The sequence below is a fragment of the Homo sapiens genome, chromosome 16, assembly GCF_000001405.40.
Source record: "Homo sapiens chromosome 16, GRCh38.p14 Primary Assembly".
NCBI classification, from domain to species: domain Eukaryota; kingdom Metazoa; phylum Chordata; class Mammalia; order Primates; family Hominidae; genus Homo; species Homo sapiens.
This window is the reverse complement of record NC_000016.10, coordinates 16,995,892-17,014,255: the sequence shown is the minus strand read 5'-3', so window position 1 is coordinate 17,014,255 and position 18,364 is coordinate 16,995,892. Positions and strand designations below refer to the sequence as shown.

At 40.7% G+C, this 18,364-nt stretch overlaps 4 annotated features.

Annotated features, from left to right (window-relative positions):
* Positions 312–411: an enhancer, noted in NCBI's record as "active region_10500". NCBI's record gives its function as "activates an Ori minimal core promoter by ATAC-STARR-seq in GM12878 lymphoblastoid cells {active_cell/tissue: GM12878}" and the evidence as "EXISTENCE:reporter gene assay evidence [ECO:0000049][PMID:35858748]".
* Positions 449–593: an enhancer, noted in NCBI's record as "145 bp enhancer 79/80 fragment used in the MPRA reporter construct; PK_construct_4069". NCBI's record gives its function as "activates an SV40 promoter by MPRA in HepG2 and K562 cells {active_cell/tissue: HepG2 | K562}" and the evidence as "EXISTENCE:reporter gene assay evidence [ECO:0000049][PMID:23512712]".
* Positions 512–529: a transcriptional cis regulatory region, noted in NCBI's record as "GATA motif; enhancer activity is reduced when this motif is scrambled". NCBI's record gives its function as "necessary for full MPRA enhancer 79/80 activity {active_cell/tissue: HepG2 | K562}" and the evidence as "EXISTENCE:site-directed mutagenesis evidence [ECO:0005528][PMID:23512712]".
* Positions 11,553–11,602: an enhancer, noted in NCBI's record as "active region_10499". NCBI's record gives its function as "activates an Ori minimal core promoter by ATAC-STARR-seq in GM12878 lymphoblastoid cells {active_cell/tissue: GM12878}" and the evidence as "EXISTENCE:reporter gene assay evidence [ECO:0000049][PMID:35858748]".

The window sequence follows — 18,364 nt, the reverse complement described above, 5'->3', positions numbered from 1 at the left end:
CGGAGCTTGCAGTGAGCCGAGATCGCGCCACTGCACTCCAGCCTGGGCGACAGAGCAAGACTCCGTCTCAAAAAAAAAAAAAAAAAAACAATTATATTTACCAATTGAGACTACTAGAGTAGGAAATGTTACTTCATCTGAGAAATCTCAACCCACCTCTGCACAAAGGGTGTTGATGGGTTCAACGGAGAGGTGTGGCTGTTGAAAGGCATCACAGCCCTTCCAGGGGCGAGAGCTTGCGCACTTACCCCTGAGTCTGAGGTCATGTAACCCCTGCCAGTTCAGCCGGGACTTAAAACCGTAACTAATGCTCCTCTCTCCTCTCCGCAAGATCATCAGCCGTCGAAGCACCGCCTCTACTGAGTTCACTCCATCTGGAATCCTCTGGGGAAAGAAACATGGATTGCGTACACAGCAGAATTAGCCTTTTGTATTTCATTGTGTGTCTGTTGAGGCGGCGGTGAACCAGATGTGGTTTTCGGCAGACATAACTTCAAAAGCCGGAAACACACTTATCAGGAAACTGCAGAACATGAGGCAGCCGGCAACAGTCAAGGTCACTGACAGGTGACGTGGCCAATAAAGGGAGATTAAAAGCCATGACTTGTCTGACACGGGCCCATTTGATACTTACCAATGGCAGGATACGGAACATTGCCTACTCTTGATGGGAAGTCATTGAACATAGTGTAATTTCTTAGAAAGTGAATCCCTGTCATTTTTCTCTACGATAAAAAAAAAAGGAAGGAAATAAAATAAAATCCAGGTAGCTCTCTGCTGACGACCAAAATGTGTTTATTTACTGAATACCATTTACCATTGGCCAGATTTTTCTGCCAAATATTCTCTTATTGGATCCTCAGTACAACCAAACGTGTTCTCAAATTAATAATTATCCTGCCTTTACAGTAGGGAGAAGTGAGACTCAGAGGATTTGTGGTAAACTTTCCAAGCTAGTCAGTGACCAGCCAGGACTGTAACCCAGAGATTATGTTATAATGCTTACGCATGGTGACAGCGCCTTACTCTAGGTGAAGGAATGACATCCAGATGGCATTGTTTTCTGGCAACACGGACAACTGGAATGCAAAGCAAACCCTACCTAATTTTTGGACACCATACTTTCTGCAGCCAAAAAAACAAGAAATGCATACTCTAAAGAACTGCTGGAAACGTTTATTTGCATGCCGGGCGGCGATGCCAGAGTCCCCTGATTCTGCACTACGTGGCCTAGGGAAGATTTTCATAAATCAAGCTTTCTTCTATCCCAAATAACATTTTATGCATGCCAAGGAATCTCACTATTTAAAAAAGCTCATTCACAAAGCCTCCTTCTGCTTTTCACCCACCCGTGTATTATTTAGTGTAGGTTTAAAAAAAACACAACAGCTTGAAATTCAGGTTTAAACCAGTGGGAGCATCTACTAAGAACAAACCAAATTAAGAAGAAATGATTCTTCAAATATTTGGTATACTAAATAAGCTTGGCCCAGAGGTAAGCTGTGGTCACCTCTTCCTTTGCATTTTAAATAAATTTGGCCTGAGCTTATATCCCACATCCTATGAGTTGAACATCTTGCCAAGACTTTTGCAGATTCCTCAGGGTTCCTGTTTCTTTTGATTATTTCTACCTCCAAGTTCCTGCTCCCGTTTCTCTCTGTCTCACATTTATTCTCTTCTCTCTGCACTGCATGGACCCAGAGAAAAACTCAGCCTCTTTCTCTGACATTCCCCACACCGCCTGCCCAATATATTTGTCATTGTCAGTACTTTGGGGTGACCCAGAAAGGTTCTATCACAGCAACACCAGTGCCTTAAAATTGTATATTAGATATCTCAGGTCTGCTCGACTCCAAAATCTCAACCTCTACTTCCTACCTCCTCAACTGGGAGGATAAGCTCTGCTCCAGCCATTACAGCCCCTTGTGATTCCTCCATCACGCCAAGCTTGTTTCTGCTTAGGGGCCTGTGGACTTGCCAGACGGCTGTCTCTCAGCCTCAAGACACATTCACTCATTTCCCCCACGTCTCTGCACAATGTCACCTTATAACACGAGCCTTCCTGATCATCCTTCATTAGAACACCTTGGTCTTCTCCCTTCTCCTTTGTCTCCATAGCTCTCATCAACACGTGAAATATTGCGTATTTTCTTGCATTTTTTTTCTGTCTCTCCTACCAGAACTCATGCTCCATGAGGGTGGCAGTTTTGCCTGTTTTGTTTTCTCCAGTACCTCCAGAATCTAGAATAGAGGCATGCATACCCAGTGGAATATTGATGCATTTTATTGACTGAGTCAGAAGATCACTAAAGAGACTTTCCATTTGGAGTACTATTCAGCCATGAAAAAGAATGAGGTCCTGTCATTTGCAACAACATAGATGGAACTGGAGGTCATTATGTTAAGTGAAATAAGCCAGGCACAGAAAGACAAACTGCATGTTCTCATTTATTTGTGGGATCTAAAAATAAAAACAATGAACTTATGGAGATAGAGAGTAGAAGGATGGTTAACAGAGGCTGGAAAGAATAGTGGGGTGACAGGGAGAATGTTAATGAGAACAAAGAAATACCTAGAAATAAATAAGGCCAGGCATGGTGGTTCGTGCCTATAATCCTAGCATTTCAGGAGGCCACGGCGGGCAGATTGCCTGAGCTCAGGAGTTTGAGACCAGCCTGGACAACATGGCGAAACCCCATCTCTACTAAAAATATAAAAAATTAGCCAAACGTGGTGGTGCATGCCTGAAATCCCAGCTACTTGGGAGGCTGAAGCACAAGAATCGCTTGAACTCAGGAGGCAGAGGCTACAGTGAGCCCAGATCATGCCACTACACCCCAGCCTGGGTGACAGAGCGAGACTGTCTCCAAAAAAAAAAAAGAATAAATAAGACCTACTATTTGATACCACACAGGGTGACTATAGTCAATAACTTAATTGTACATTTTTAAATAACTAAAGGAGCTTAATTGGATTGTTTCTAACACAAAGGACAAATGCTTCAGGGGATGGATACTCCATTCTCCATGATTTGATTATTTCACATTGCATGGCTGTATCAAAATATTAATTTTTTTTGAGACGGAGTTTCACTCTTTCGCCCAGGGTGCAGTGCAGTGGCGCAATCTTGGCTCATTGCAACCTCTGCCTCCTGGGTTCAAACAATGCTTCCTCAGCCTCCTGAGTAGCTGGGATTACAGGCACGCACCACCATGCCCGGTTAATTTTTGTATTTTTATTAGAGGTGGCGTTTCCCCATGTTCATCAGGCTGGTCTCAAACTCCTGACCTCAGGTGATCTGCCTGCCTCGGCCTCCCCAAGTGCTGGGATTACAGGCATGAGAAATTTAAAATTTTCTAATAGCTATAATAAAAAGTGAAAAAACAGGTAAAATTAATTTTAGTAGCATATTTTATTTTTAAATACTTCAAATATTAGCATTTCAACCTGTAACCAATAGAAAAATTATTAATGAGATATTGTACTATCTTCTTTGGTTCTAAATCTCTGGAATCCAGCATGTCTTTGACACTTACAGCACGTCTCAGTTTGGACCAGCCACACTTCCAGTGCTCAGGAGTCACGTGGCTCATGACCACCAAATAGCACAGGGCAGGTCTAGCAAGATTCACACACACTGTTAGATACAGGGGACTGATCTTTGGCTGGTGTAGTTATGACATTTTTCCTTTCTTGTGCATACTTTACTGAATTTTCTGAGTTTTTTATAAAACAAAGCTGATCATCAGTAAAGCAATAATGCTATTTACAAGTGGGGGAGAAAAAATAATAAAATAAAAAAGAAATAATAATAATAAATAAAAAAGAAAATTTTAAATTACATATGTGGCTTGTGTTATGTTTTTGTTGTGCAAAATCTCAGAAAAGCTGAGATGTCCTGGCTTCTCTCTTTCCTCATTTACACATATATATACACATATGTAGTTTTTTTTTTTTAGAAAAGGGATACATTACATATATTGTTTTATGGACCTGCCACTTTTATAACCTGCAGACACATTTTTTACATGTCAGTAAACTAAGATTCTCTTTTTGAGACTGGATCTCACTCTATCGCCGAGGCTGGAGTGCAGTGGTGCCATCCTAGCTCATTGCAGCCTCGACCTCCCAGGCTCAAATAATCCTCCCTCCTCAGCCTCCCAAGTAGCTGGCACTACAGGCACGTGCAACAATGTCCAGCTAGTTTTGTTTATTCTTGTAGAGATGGGGTCTCACTATGTTTCCCAGGCTGGTCTTGAACTCCTGGACTCAAGCTATCCACCTGCCTTGGCCTCACAACTCATTTTTGATGGTGTTACAGTATAATACTAAATAAATGCATCAGGATTTATTTAACATATAATTGAACATTGTTGAGCCATTTCCTTTTTTCTTTCCTCTTTCCTGCTTTTTTACTGGTGTATAAAACCCTGTGACAACTTGTATTAAAAGATACCACATGGAAAAAGTCCCTGCTTGACAGTTCTGAAGAGAGCAGTGGTTCTCACAGCATGGTGTTCAAGCTCCAATAACGGACAGATTGCCTCCTCAAGTGGGTCCCTGACCCCCGTGTAGCCTGTCTGGGAGACACCTCCCAGTAGGGGCTGACAGACACCTCATACAGGCAGGTGCCCCTCTGGGATGAAGCTTCCAGAGGAAGGATCAGGCAAAAAGATTTGCTGTTCTGCAGCCTCCGCTGGTGATACCTAGGCAAACACGGTCTGGAGTGGACCTCAAGCAAACTCCAACAGACCTGTAGCTGAGGGGCCTGACTGTTAGAAGGAAAACTAACAAACAGAAAGGAATAGCATCAACATCAACAAAAGGACATCCACACCAAAACCCCATCCATAGGTCACCAACATCAAAAACCAAAGGTAGATAAAACCACAAAGATGGGGAGAAACCAGAGCAGAAAGGCTGAAAATTCCAAAAGCCAGAACACCTCTTCTCCTCCAAAGAACACTACTTCTTGCCAGCAAGGGATCAAAACTGGATGGAGAATGAGTTTGACGAGTTGACAGAAGTAGGCTTCAGAAGGTCAATAATAACAAACTTCTCCGAGATAAAGGAGCATGTTCTAACCCATCGCAAGGAAGCTAAAAACCTTGAAAAAAGGTTAGACGTATGGCTAACTAGAATAACCAGTATAGAGAAGAGCTTAAATGACCTGATGGAGCTGAAAACCACAGCACGAGAACTTCGGGGAGCATACACGAGCTTCAGTAGCTGATTCCATCAAGTAGAAGACAGGATACAAGTGATTGAAGATCAAATTAATGAAATAAAGTAAGAAGACAAGATTAGAGAAAAAAGAATGAAAAGAAATGAACAAAGCCTCTAAGAAATACGGGGCTATGTGAAAAGACCAAATCTACGTTTGACTGGCGTACCTGAAAGTGACAGGGAGAATGGAATCAAGTTGGAAAACATTCTTTAGGATATTATCCAGGAGAACTTCCCCAACCTAGCAAGGCAGGCCAACAATGAAATTCAGGAAATACAAAGAACACCACAAAATACTCCTCAAGAAGAGCAACCCCAAGACACATAATTGTCAGATTCGCCAAGGTTGAAAAGAAGGAAAAAGTGTTAAGTTCAGCCAGAGAGAAAGGTTGGGTTACCCGCAAAGGGAAGCCCATCAGACTAACAGCAGATCTCTCTGCAGAAACCCTACAAGCCAGAAGAGAGTGGGGGCCAATATTCAACATTCTTAAAGAATTTTCAACCCAGAATTTCATATCCAGCCAAACTAAGCTTTATAAGTGGAGGAGAAATAAAATCCTGTACAGACAAGCAAATGCTGAGAGATTTTGTCACCAGCAGGCCTGACTCACAAGAGCTCCTGAGGGAAGGACTAAATATGGAAAAGAACAACCAGTATGAGCCACTGTGAAAACATGCCAAATTGTAAAGACAATTGACACTATGAAGAATCTGCATAAATTAACGGGCAAAATAACCAGCTAGCATCATAATGACAGGATCAAATTCATACATAACAATATTAACCTTATATGTAAACGAGCTAAATACCCCAATGAAAAAACACAGACTGGCAAATTGGATAAAGAGTCAAGACCTATCAGTGTGCTGTATTCAGGAGATCCATTTCACGTGAAAAGACAAACCTAGGCTCAAAATAAAGGGATGGAGGAAGATCTACCAAGCAAATGGAAAGCAAAAAAAGAAGCAGGGGTTGCAATCCTGGTCTCTGATAAAACAGACTTTAAACCAACAAAGATCAAAAGAGATAAAGAAGGCCATTACATAATGGTAAAGGGATCAATTCAGCAAGAAGAGCTAACTATCCTAAATATATACGCACTCAATACAGGAACACCCAGATTCATAAAGTAAGTTCTTAGAGACCTACAAAGAGACTTAGACTCCCACACACTAATAACAGGAGACTTAAACACCCCACTGTCAATATTAGACAGATCAACAAGACAGAAAATTAACAAGGATATCCAGGACTTGAATTCAGCTCCAGACCAAGTGGACATAATAGACATCCACAGAACTCTCCACCCCAAATCAATAGAATATACATTCTTCTCAGCACCACAACACACTTATTCTAAAATTGACCACATAATTGGAATTAAAACACTCCTCAGCAAATGTAAAACACTAAAAATCACAACAAACTGTCTCTCAGACCACAGTGCAATCACATTAGAACTCAGGATTAAGAAATTCACTCAAAACTGCACAACTACATGGAAACTGAACAACCTGATCCTTAATGACTACTGGGTATATAACAAAATGAAGGCAGAAATAAAGATGTTCTTTGAAACCAATGAGAACAAAGACACAAACTACCAGAACCTCTGGGACACATTTAAAGCAGTGTGTAGAGGGACATTCATAGCACTAAATGCCCATAAAAGAAAGCAGGAAAGATCTAAAATTGACATGCTAACATCACAATTAAAAGAACTAGAGAAGCAAGACCAAACAAATTCAAAAGCTAGCAGAAGACAAGAAATAACTAAGATGAGAGCAGAACTGAAGGAGACAGAAACATAAAAAACTCTTCAAAAAAATCAATGAATCCAGGAGATGGTTTTTTGAAAAGTTCAACAAAACAGACCACTAGCAAGACTAATAAAGAAGAAAAGAGAGAAGAATCAAATAGATGCAATAAAAAATGATAAATGAGGTATCACCACCGATCCCACAGAAATACAAACTACCATCAGAGAATTCTATAAACACCTCTATGTTATTAAACTAGAAAATCTAGAGGAAATGGATAAATTCCTGGACACACACACCCTCCCAAGACTAAACCAGGAAGAAGTTGTATCTCTGAATAGACCAATAACAGGTTCTGAAATGGAGGCAATAATTAATAGCCTACCACCCAAAAAAAGTCCAGGACCAGATGGATTCACAGCCAAATTCTACCAGAGGTACAAAGAAGAGCTGGTATCATTCTGTCTGAAACTATTCCAATCAATGGAAAAAGAGGGAATCCTCCCTAACTCATTTTATGAGGCCAGCATCATCGTGATACCAAAGCCTGGCAGAGACAAAACAAAAAAAGAGGATTTTAGGCCAATATCCCTGATGAATATCGATGCGAAAATCCTCAATAAAATACTGGCAAACTGAATCCAGCAGCACATCAAAAAGCTTATCCACCATGATCAACTCAGCTTCATCCCTGGGATGCAAGGCTTGTTCAATATACACAAATCGATAAACGTAATCCATCACATAAACAGAATGAAAGACAAAAGCCACATGATTATCTCAATAGAGCAGAAAAGGCCTTCAACAAAATTCAACAGCCTTTCATGCTAAAAACTCTCAATAAACTAGGTATTGATGGAATGTATCTCAAAATAATAAGAACTATTTATGACAAACCCACAGCCAGTATCATAATGAATGGGAAAAAACTGGAAGCATTCCCTTTGAAAACTGGCACAAGACAAGGATGCCCTCTCTTGACACTCCTATTCAACATAGCATTGGAAGTTCTGGCCAGGGCAATCAGGCAAGAGAAAGAAATAAAGGATATTCAGTTAGGAAAAGAGGAAGTCAAATTGTCTCTGTTTGCAGATGACATGATTATATACTTAGAAAACCCATTGTCTCAGCCCAAAATCTCCTTAAGCTGATAAGCGACTTCAGCAAAGTCTCAAGATACAAAATCAATGTGCAAAAATCACAAGCATTCCTATACACCAATAACAGACAGAGAGCCAAATCATGAGTGAACTGCCATTCACAATTGCTATAAAGAGAATAAAATACCTAGGAATCCAACTTACAAGGGATGTGAAGGACCTCTTCAAGAAGAACTACAAACCACTGCTCAAGGAAATAAGAGAGGACACAAACAAATGGAAAACATTCCATGCTCATGGATAGGTAGAACCAATATCATGAAAATGGCCATACTGCCTAAGGTAATTTATAGATTCAATGCTATTCCCCTCAAGCTACCACTGACTTTCTTCACAGAATTGGAAAAAAACTGCTTTAAATTTCATATGGAACCAAAAAAGAGCCCACATAGCCAAGACAATCCTAAGCAAAAAGAACAAAGCTGGAGGCATCATGCTACCTGACTTCAAACTATACTACAAGGCTACAGTAAACAAAACAGCATGGTACTGGTACCAAAACAGATATATAGACATATGGAATAGAACAGAGGCCTCAAATAACACCACACACCTACAACCATCTGATCTTTGACAAATCTGACAAAAACAAGAAATGGGGAAAGGATTACCTATTTAATAAATGGTGCTGGGAAAACTGGTTAGCCGTATGTAGAAAGCTGAAACTGGATCCCTTCCTTATACCTTACGCAAAAATTAATTCAAGATGGATTAAAGACTTAAATGGAAGACCGAAAACCATAAAAATCCTAGAAGAAAACCTAGGCGATACCATCCAGGACATAGGCATGGGCAAAGACTTCATGACTAAAACACCAAAAGCAATGGCAACAAAAGCCAAAATAGACAAATGGGATCTAATTTAACTAAAGAGCTTCTGCACAGCAAAAGACACTATCATCAGAGTGAACAGGCAACCTACAGAATGGGAGACAATTTTTGCAATCTATCCATCTGACAAAGGGCTAATATCCAGAATCTACGAAGAATTTAAACAAATTTACAAGAAAAAAACAACCCCATCAAAAAATGGGCAAAGGATATGAACAGGCCCTTCTCAAAAGATGACATTTATGCAGCCAACAGACATATGAAAAAATTCTCATCATCACTGGTCATCAGAGAAATGCAAATCAAAACCACAATGAGATAGCATCTCATGCCATTTAGAATGGTGATCATTAAAAAGTCAGGAAACAACAGATTCTGGAGAGGATGTGGAGAAATAGGAACGCTTTTACACTGTTGGTGGGAGTGTAAATTAGTTCAACCATTGTGGAAGACAGTGTGGTGATGCCTCAATGATCTAAAACTAGAAATAACCATTTGACCCAGCAATCCCATTACTGGGTATATACCCAAAGGATTATAAATCATTCTACTATAAAGACACATGCACACATATGTTTATTGTGGCACTGTTCACAATAGCAAAGACTTGGAACCAACCCAAACATCTATCAATGATAGACTGGATTAAGAAAATGTGGCACATATACACCATGGAATACTATGCAGCCATAAAAAATGATGAGTTCATGTCCTTTGTAGGGACATGGATGAAACTGGAAACCATCATTCTCAGCAAACTATCGCAAGGACAAAAAACCAAACATTGCATGTTCTCACTCCTAAGTGGGAATTGAACAATGAGAACGCATGGACACAGGAAGGGGAACATCACACACTGGGGACTGTTGTGGGGTGGGGGAGGGGGGAGGGATAGCATTAGGAGATATACCTAATGCTAATGACGCGTTAATGGGTGCAGCACACCAACATGGCACATGTATACATATGTAACAAACCTGCACGTTGTGCACATGTACCCTAAAACTTGAAGTATAATAATAAAACAAAATAATAAAAAAAAAATAAAAAAAGAAAATGTGGCACATATACACCATGAAATACCATGCAGCCATAAAAAAGGATGAGTTCATGTCCTTAGTAGGGACATGGATGAAGCTGGAAACCATCATTCTCAGCAAAATATCACAAGGACAGAAAACCAAACACCACATGTTCTCACTCATAAGTGGGAGTTGAACAATGAGAACACATGGACACAGTGAGGGGAACATCACACACTGGGGCCTATTGGGGTGTGGGGAACTGGGGGAGGGATAGCATTAGGAGAAATACCTAATGTAAATGACGAGGTGATGGTTGCCCCAAACCAACATGGCACATGTATACCTATGAAACAAACTTGCATGTTGTGCACGTGTACCCTAGAACTTAAAAAAAAGAAAGAAAAAAAAAGAAACCATGTGTACCTGTTATTTCTCTAGGATAAATTCCTAAAATATATTTAGAGCTCATGGAAACCAAATAAGTCACAGCTCCTCAGACCAGCAACTTTATGAACTTTGGATGCTGTTAGGTGGAACTGCAGGACGATTTTAGCAGCCTTTGACAAATCTCTTTGAGGCTTTAATACACTTTGTTCTAGAACACAGGAGATGAATGGTCTAATACAGAGGCTGTGGAGACAGACAAGCCAAGTTCCAATTCTGGTTCTTTGTCATTTCTAATGATGTGACTTCAGGCCACTTTTTTGACCTGAGCCTCAGTCTCCGTATCTAAAAAATGGGAGCACTAACTATACAGCCCTCCTAAAGTTACTCTTAGGATTGAGTGAAATGCTGTGTAAAATTGTTCAGCACAGTGCCTGGCTCTTGGTAAAACCTCAGGAAATGTGGTTATTAACATTTTTGAGATCTGGTTTGGATATGTCAATCAATATACACATACACGCAGATTTCTGCATTTTTGTCATACTCACCCTCTCTCAATGACTTTTTTTTCAAACAGAGATCTATTTGCTAAAATAAATTGAAATGGGTAAAGAATATGAGGCACAATTTATACTAGATATATCTGCAATTACTAACTCTGAATTAAACATATCCCTTCATGAATAATGAAGCAGAAATAGGCCAAAGGAAAAATGAGATAAGATCTTAAATCCATGTATTTTTAATTGCTTCATTATCTAAAATTTGCTATGAATAGCAGTGGATACAGTTTGCTGTTTAAAGCACAAAAAGAAATAAGAATTTCCAGCCAAATCACAAAAGGCTATCAAAAATTAATTTTGTGTGCTATGATCACTGAAAATGTAAGTGATTTTGAGGCAGAGTGACATTTAAAAATGCCATTTATATGCTAATAATAAATGAGTCTTTTTTTCATTTTGATGCAAAATAAATTTTATTTTCATTTTAATGAACTGTAATGAATTATAAGCATTCTCTTTTTATCTTTAAGTAAAAGTCTGGGACAGATAGCAGAAGGTTGGCAGAGACAGGCAAGATGTCTAAGAGGAAGTGAAAATGGAACCTGTCCTATCAGCTGCTACTGACCTCCTAAGCTGGATGAGATCCTTTGCAGCTGAGGTGGTTGTCTCTTGGATTTTAGAAATTCACAAAAGTTGGGTTTACCCCAAAGACGGTGAACTATCAATTCATGCCATCTTAGAGAATGATATCTATGAACCACATTGAATTGATCACCCTTTTTCTCTTACACTGGATGACATTCTTATTCTAGAAACTAAAATCAGCAATGCAATTCTTCACATCCTTCAGTCTCTAAAGGATATTTTTCGATAATAATGCTTATTTTCTTTTTGAGATGGAGTCTCACTCTGTCGCCCAGGCTGGAGTGCAGTGGAATAATGCTTATTCTTTATTGAAGTCTTACTCCACGTCAGCCATTTTTCTATGTTTCATATCCATTCTTTTATCTAACTTTTATGACAGCCCTAAGAAGTTGGGACTATTACAATCCCTGCTTTATAGATGAGAAACTTGAAACCAGAGAGGGTAGGCAATTTCCCTTTGATTTCACAGTCAATGAAGTTTAGATCTGAATTCATATCTATGACTTAAGTGCTATAATATTTAACTTATGTCCACTGTCAACTCTTTTTTGGAAAAGAGGAAACAGAAGGATGTCAGCTTTTACTTTAAAAAAAAAAATTGCTAATGGTGACATTTCAGGCATCAGCTAGAAAAACATCACATCAGGGGCCGGGCATGGTGGCTCACACCTGTAATCTCAGCACTTTGCGAGGCTGAGGTGGGCAAATCACTTGAGGCCAGGAGTTTGAGACCAGCCTGGACAACATGGTGAAACCCCATTTTTACTAAAAACACAAATATTAGCCAGGCATGGTGACACATGTGTATAATCTCAGCTACTTGGGAGGCTGAGGCAGAAAAATCACTTGAACCCAGGAGGCAGAGGCTGCAGTGAGCCGAGATCACACCACTGCACTCCAGCCTGGATGACAGAGTGAGACTAAATAAATAAACAATAAATAAATAACATACATACACTTTAGGGAAGACAGAAAGAAGGACTTTGGGTGTTATTGTCCACTCTGTTCAAGGTGCAGGTAACTGCCGGACACCTCGCCCATATCCAGGCTAGGTTTAAAGCCCAGTTAGTCATTTTATTAGATCTGAAAGGATGCATGCTTGAGACATCTGGGTATGTTTGCCAGGGCTTTGGTGAAAAAACACCCAGAGCTCTGCTGAGCAGAGAGGCCTTTGGTTTTTTATGGAAGGTTTTTTATTCTCTGAAGCCTGCCTTCTTTGAAGTGAGAAGCCAGAACTTTCCAAATTCATTTCTGTGTTATCCTCATCTCTTACTCTTAGGTCTTGGGTTGCCTTTTCCTGACTTGGTTGTTGATGTTAATTCTCTTTAACCAGGGTCTCTTTAAATGGGAGCTAGTGAGTTATGGAGCAGTAATTCACCCTTCAGATCTAGTGGACTCAAGGCCACAGGCCAGCCCCTATTAAACAGAAAGGTCTGAATTATTATCCTGTAATTCACCCACTGGTAGCGTCTTAATTCAATTATACTATGCCCCTGAATGAAGATTAAAAGAAATAGAAAAAAAAAAAAAAAGGTTCTGGATCTTTTTTTGGTTACAATCTAGAGTAATTTTCAGTGCCAAAGAGTTCTTCCTTTAAAGTAATTAGGAAGCAAATTAAAAAGGAAGATTAAAGAAGACAGCCCCTTATCACTGGTAAGGCTGCACTGTAGACAATCAACTGTATTTCAACCAATGGAAACGTGGCAGGAACTACAGCAATACAAGTATCTTCTCTTTGACCAAATCCTTTTGATTTATATCTTGCCTCCCCTTTTATTTTAGAATTCTTCTACTAGTAAGCTTAAGTTAAAACTAGTTCTAAATTCTGTTGTAATCTGCCCAATATTACCCTAGACATTGCATAATAAATGCAGATGGGATTGGGCATGGTTCATGCCTGTAATCTGAGCACTTTCAGATGCCAAGGCAGGGGGATCACTTAAGGCTGGGAGTTTGAGGCCAGACTGGGCAACAGAGTGAGACCCTATCTCTACAAAAAAAATTTGAACTAGTTGGTTGTGCTGGCATGCACCTGTAGTTCCAGCTACTTGGGAGGCTGAGGCAGAAGGCTGACTCAAGCCCAGGCGTTTGAGGTTGCAGTGAGCTGTGATTGGATCATACCACTGCTATCCAGTCTGGGCAACAGCAAGGGACCTCTGTCTAAAAATTTAATTGAATGCAGATGGATAAACTTGATGACATGACTAGCCTAGTTCAAAAAGATGCAAACACAATGCAAGTTAAACAAAAAACAAAGAATTTGAGGTTTCCTTGTGTCTTAGTTTGGGTTCTCTCAGGAGAAGACCCTAAGACAAGCATTTGTAGTTGATGTGAGAGGTGAAAGTAGTGAGATAAAAAAGGGAAAGAAGTCAATGTACAGTGTTATCAATCAAGCTACTCCTGTGGGCAACGAGGGCTGCAAAGCTCTGGTGAATGGTATAGAACAGGCACTTAAGGGCAGTGAGGGAGCTGGGTATTGATACACCAACTCCCATAGGTCATAGGTTAAGAGCCATTGAGGACGGCCAACTTTGTCTTTGCTGTCTTCTTGCCTTTCATGAGTCTAGAGAACTCTCGGATGGCTAATTGACTTTGTCCCACTCCACATATAGGGATATGGCCAAAAACTACAAAACACTTTTCTCAAGTTCAGAAACACTCAACCTCAGCTTTCTCTAGAGTCTTTACATTGTTAAGAAAATAATCTGCCAAACTATATCTGTCTTTTTAAAAACTCTATCTAAAGATGGGGCCTCATTTTGTTGCCCAGGCTGGTCTCAAACCCCTGGCTTCAAGGAATCCTCCCATCTGAGCCTCCCAAAGCACTGGGATTACAGGCATGAGCCACAATTTCCGGGCCTTTTTTTAAAAACTTTTTTTTTTTTTTTTTTTTTTTGAGATGGAGTCTCATTCCATCGCCCAGGCTGGAGTGCAGTGGCATGATCGCGGCTCACTACAGCCTCCACCTCCCAGGTTCAAACAATTCTTTTGCCTCAGCCTCCTGAGTAGCTGGGATTACAGGCATGCACCACTACTCCTGGCTGAGTTTTGTATTTTTAGTAGAGATAGGGTTTCACCATGTTGGTTAGGCTGGTCTCAAACTTGTGACCTCAAGTGATCCACCCACCTCAGCCTCCCAAACTGCTGGGATTACAGCCATGAGCTGCTACGCCCAGCCTAAACATATTTTAAGTTTGTTTTATCTGAAAAATGACACTGGTATTTTGATAGGGATTACATCAATCTAGAGATTGCTTTGGGCACTATGGTCATTTAATGGTATTAATTCTTCTGATCCATGAGTATGGAATGTTCTTCCATTTGTTTGTGTCACCTAGGATTTCTTTCATCGGTCTTTTAGAGTTTTTCTTGCAGAGATCTTTCACCTCCTTGGTTAAATATAGTGCTAGGTATTTTATATGTTTTTATAGCTATTGTAATGGGGATTGTCTTCTTGATTTGGTTCTTAGCTCAACGGTTGTTGGTGCGTAGAATTGCTACTGATTTTTGTATCCTAAAACTTTACTACATTCATTCCAACCTATATCTATAGTCAGCAGTAATAGATCAAATAGTAATAGATCAAAGCTCAGAATGTAGAGTCACAGGCTCAAATTCTGGGTATGCACTCATTTGTCATGTGATTATGAAGAGTCAGCTCTCTCATCTGCAAAATGGGTCACAGGGTGTTTTAAGAAACGCATGAGTTAACGATAAGGCCCTTCCCTTACGATGCTGTGCACACAAATGGCCATTATGATACTGATGAGGATGACGAGGCTTTGGTTTAGGGGCAGGAAAACCACTATTCCTGAGTTGGGCAGACCTTGAATCCACCATCCCTTCCTTCTTCACCCAGTCCATTTTTAACTTTCTGGACTGAGTTACTCTCACATGCAAAACCCAGATAGTTCCCAGAACCTAACTAGAGATCACCATCTGATAACCCACACACTACATCTACACTACATAAATGTCAAAGAATTCCCATTCAGTGTATTAAAGCAGATAGAGTTCTTTAAAAATCCAGAGTTTGACCAGGGGTGGTGGCTTACGCCTATAATCCCAGCAGTTTGGGAGGCTATGGTGGGTGGATCACTTGAGGTCAGGAGTTCAAGACCAGCCTGGCTAACATGGCGAAACCTCATCTCTACCAAAAATACAAAAATTAGTCAGGCGTGGTGGCACATGGCTGTAATTCCAGCTACTCAGGAGGCTGAGGCAGGAGAATCACTTCAACCCAGCAGGTGGAGGTTGCAGTGAGCCGACATCATGCCACTGCACTCCAGCCTGGGCGACAGAGCGAGACTCCATCTCAAAAAAAAAAAAAAAAAAAAAAAATCTCAGATTTCTAGTCCTATTAAAATGTCAAAGAAAAAGTCTTGCCCTACTGGTCCCAGTTGCCATTCTGCCATATTGGCTGGACCTGAGGACTAGATGTCTCCTCTAGTCTAGGTGAGCTGCCTCCAGTCTGCCCCAGTTACCACCACCTTCTATTTTGATGACCCGGTTCACATTTTCCCAGTACCTCCCAGGGCTTTGTGGGGATTTTTTAGTTTATGACTAATGTTCTAGCTCATTGCACCAAAAACAGTTGCTTTAGACATACCCTTGCACAACAATAAAAGTCTATCCAAAATTATTTGTCTTTCAAATCATTTTAATGAGGAAAAGACTAATGAAATGTGATTTGCATAATCAGCTATGAATACAGTATGCAAAAGGGTGAATATTGCTGCTGCTCAGAACATATCAGCGGAGCTGTTCCATTTAGAATAGGAAATTGTGCTCTGCTGGCCAGAATTAGAGAACCAGGCTGGGCGGGCATTGGACTAAAGTACTGATCAGGCGCAAACCCACCATCGTGAAGAGCTCAACCCACAGAGGCAAGATAAGGAAGGCACTGCATTTTCATCTAATAGCCCTGTAATTGGCTGATCTCCATCTGACTCCTATGAACAGGGCAGGCGTCTTTTACACCTGGACTGGCTACAAACATGGAAATGAGTGGCTGTGGATAGTGATTACTTAATGAGGAGGAGTGTTAGGCATGTGGTGGAAAATCACTTCTGCTGCAGCATAAAGGAAATGGGTGGGCATTTTGGGAGGCGTGGAGGGAAGAGGGCCGTAGTGGAGCTTCTGGCCCATCTGATCCTTTCCTGGAATTGCTGACCTCATCAACAGTTTCCATTCACAGCTATGTTCTATTTAGCGCAGAGTTTTCTACCTAAGGCACAATTGATGTTTCCAGCCAAATCATGCTTCTTTGCAAGGCGGGGGGAGTGGGGCTATCCTGTGCGAGGCAGGATTTATTTTATTTTTTTATTTTTTATTTTATTTTTTTGAGACGGAGTCTCACTGTCACCCAGGCTGGAGTGCAGTGGCGCGATCTCGGCTCACTGCATGCTCTGCCTCCCGGGTTCAAGCAATTCTCCTGCCTCAGCCTCCCGAGTAGCTGGAGTTACAGGCACCTGCCACCATGGCCAGCTAATTTTTTTTTTTTTTTTTTTTTTTTTTTTTGTATTTTTAGTAGAGACAGGGTTTCTCCATGTTGACTGGGCTGCTCTCAAACTCTTGACCTCAGGTGATCCACCCACCTTGGCCTCCCAAAGTGCTGGGATTTACAGGTGTGAGCCACTGCACCCGGCCGCAAGGCTGGATTTCAGCAGCATCCTTGGCCTCTATCCACTAGGTGCCAGTAGCATCTGCTTCCCGGTTGTGACAGCCACACATATCTCCAGATGTTCTGTGGGAGGCAAAATTGCCTGCAGTAGTGAACTACTGATTTTAGCCTATGCAGTGTTTAATTATTTTTTCATATTAGTAGACTTCCTTTAAAAATTAAGAGATACCACTTTAAAATCCTGATTTCCAGCCTCTAAGTTTGAATGAGTTGGCAATATTGAGTTCAGCTCATTCTCTCTGCATCTTGGCCTATTACCCCTCTAACCTCATCTCCTGTACCCCTTCCCCTGCTAACTCCTAGCCTTCAGTCACACTAGTTCCTCTCCAAGTGTGGTGCAACCCCAGGGGCCTTTGCACCTGCTGTTCCATCTGCAGAGAAAGTTATTCCCAGATATTTGCATGGATTGCTCCTCTCTTCCTTCAAGTCTTCACCCAAGTAGCATCTTCTTGGTAGGGACTTCTCTGGTCACTCCACCTACAACCTCAACACCTCTCTCCACAAAATTTCCTGTTCCCATTCCCAATTCTTTTTTTTTCTCATAGCAGGCTGTATAACCATCTTGTCTTTACTGAAGATTTTGATGTTTTGTCCATTGTGGATATTTTTGCATTGTGTTTTAAAAATTGCATTAAAAATTGCATTAAAGTTGTAAATTGCATTAAATTATTTATCCTAATTACTCCAGTTTTTTGCACTGCCTTAAATTTTGCACCCAGTCAGTGCCTCATGTGTATCACCCTAGACCTGGCCCCATTATGTATGTTTACTTCTCTTGCTTGTTATTTCTCTACGTCTAGCACGATATAAGACTCTTGAGGACAAGGATATTTTTTAAATCTCCTTTGTATACTGCATTCTTCCTAGCACCTAGGTTAGTGTCTGGTATATAGTATGCATGGAATAAGTACTTGATGAATGAAATTTCTGCACAGCAATATTTGACAAAAGCTAACCCTCAGCATCCTGACTTTATTCCCAAATTCTTTCATTCATTCATTTTACAAACAGAAGACACTTCTTATATGCCAGGCCCTGTGCCAGGTTCCAGGAAGGAAGAGGTGAGTTCCTTCTGCTCTGAAGCTTCGAGTTGGATACAGCCAATTATAATGCAGAGAAATTAAGTATCTTGATGTGGAGAAACAG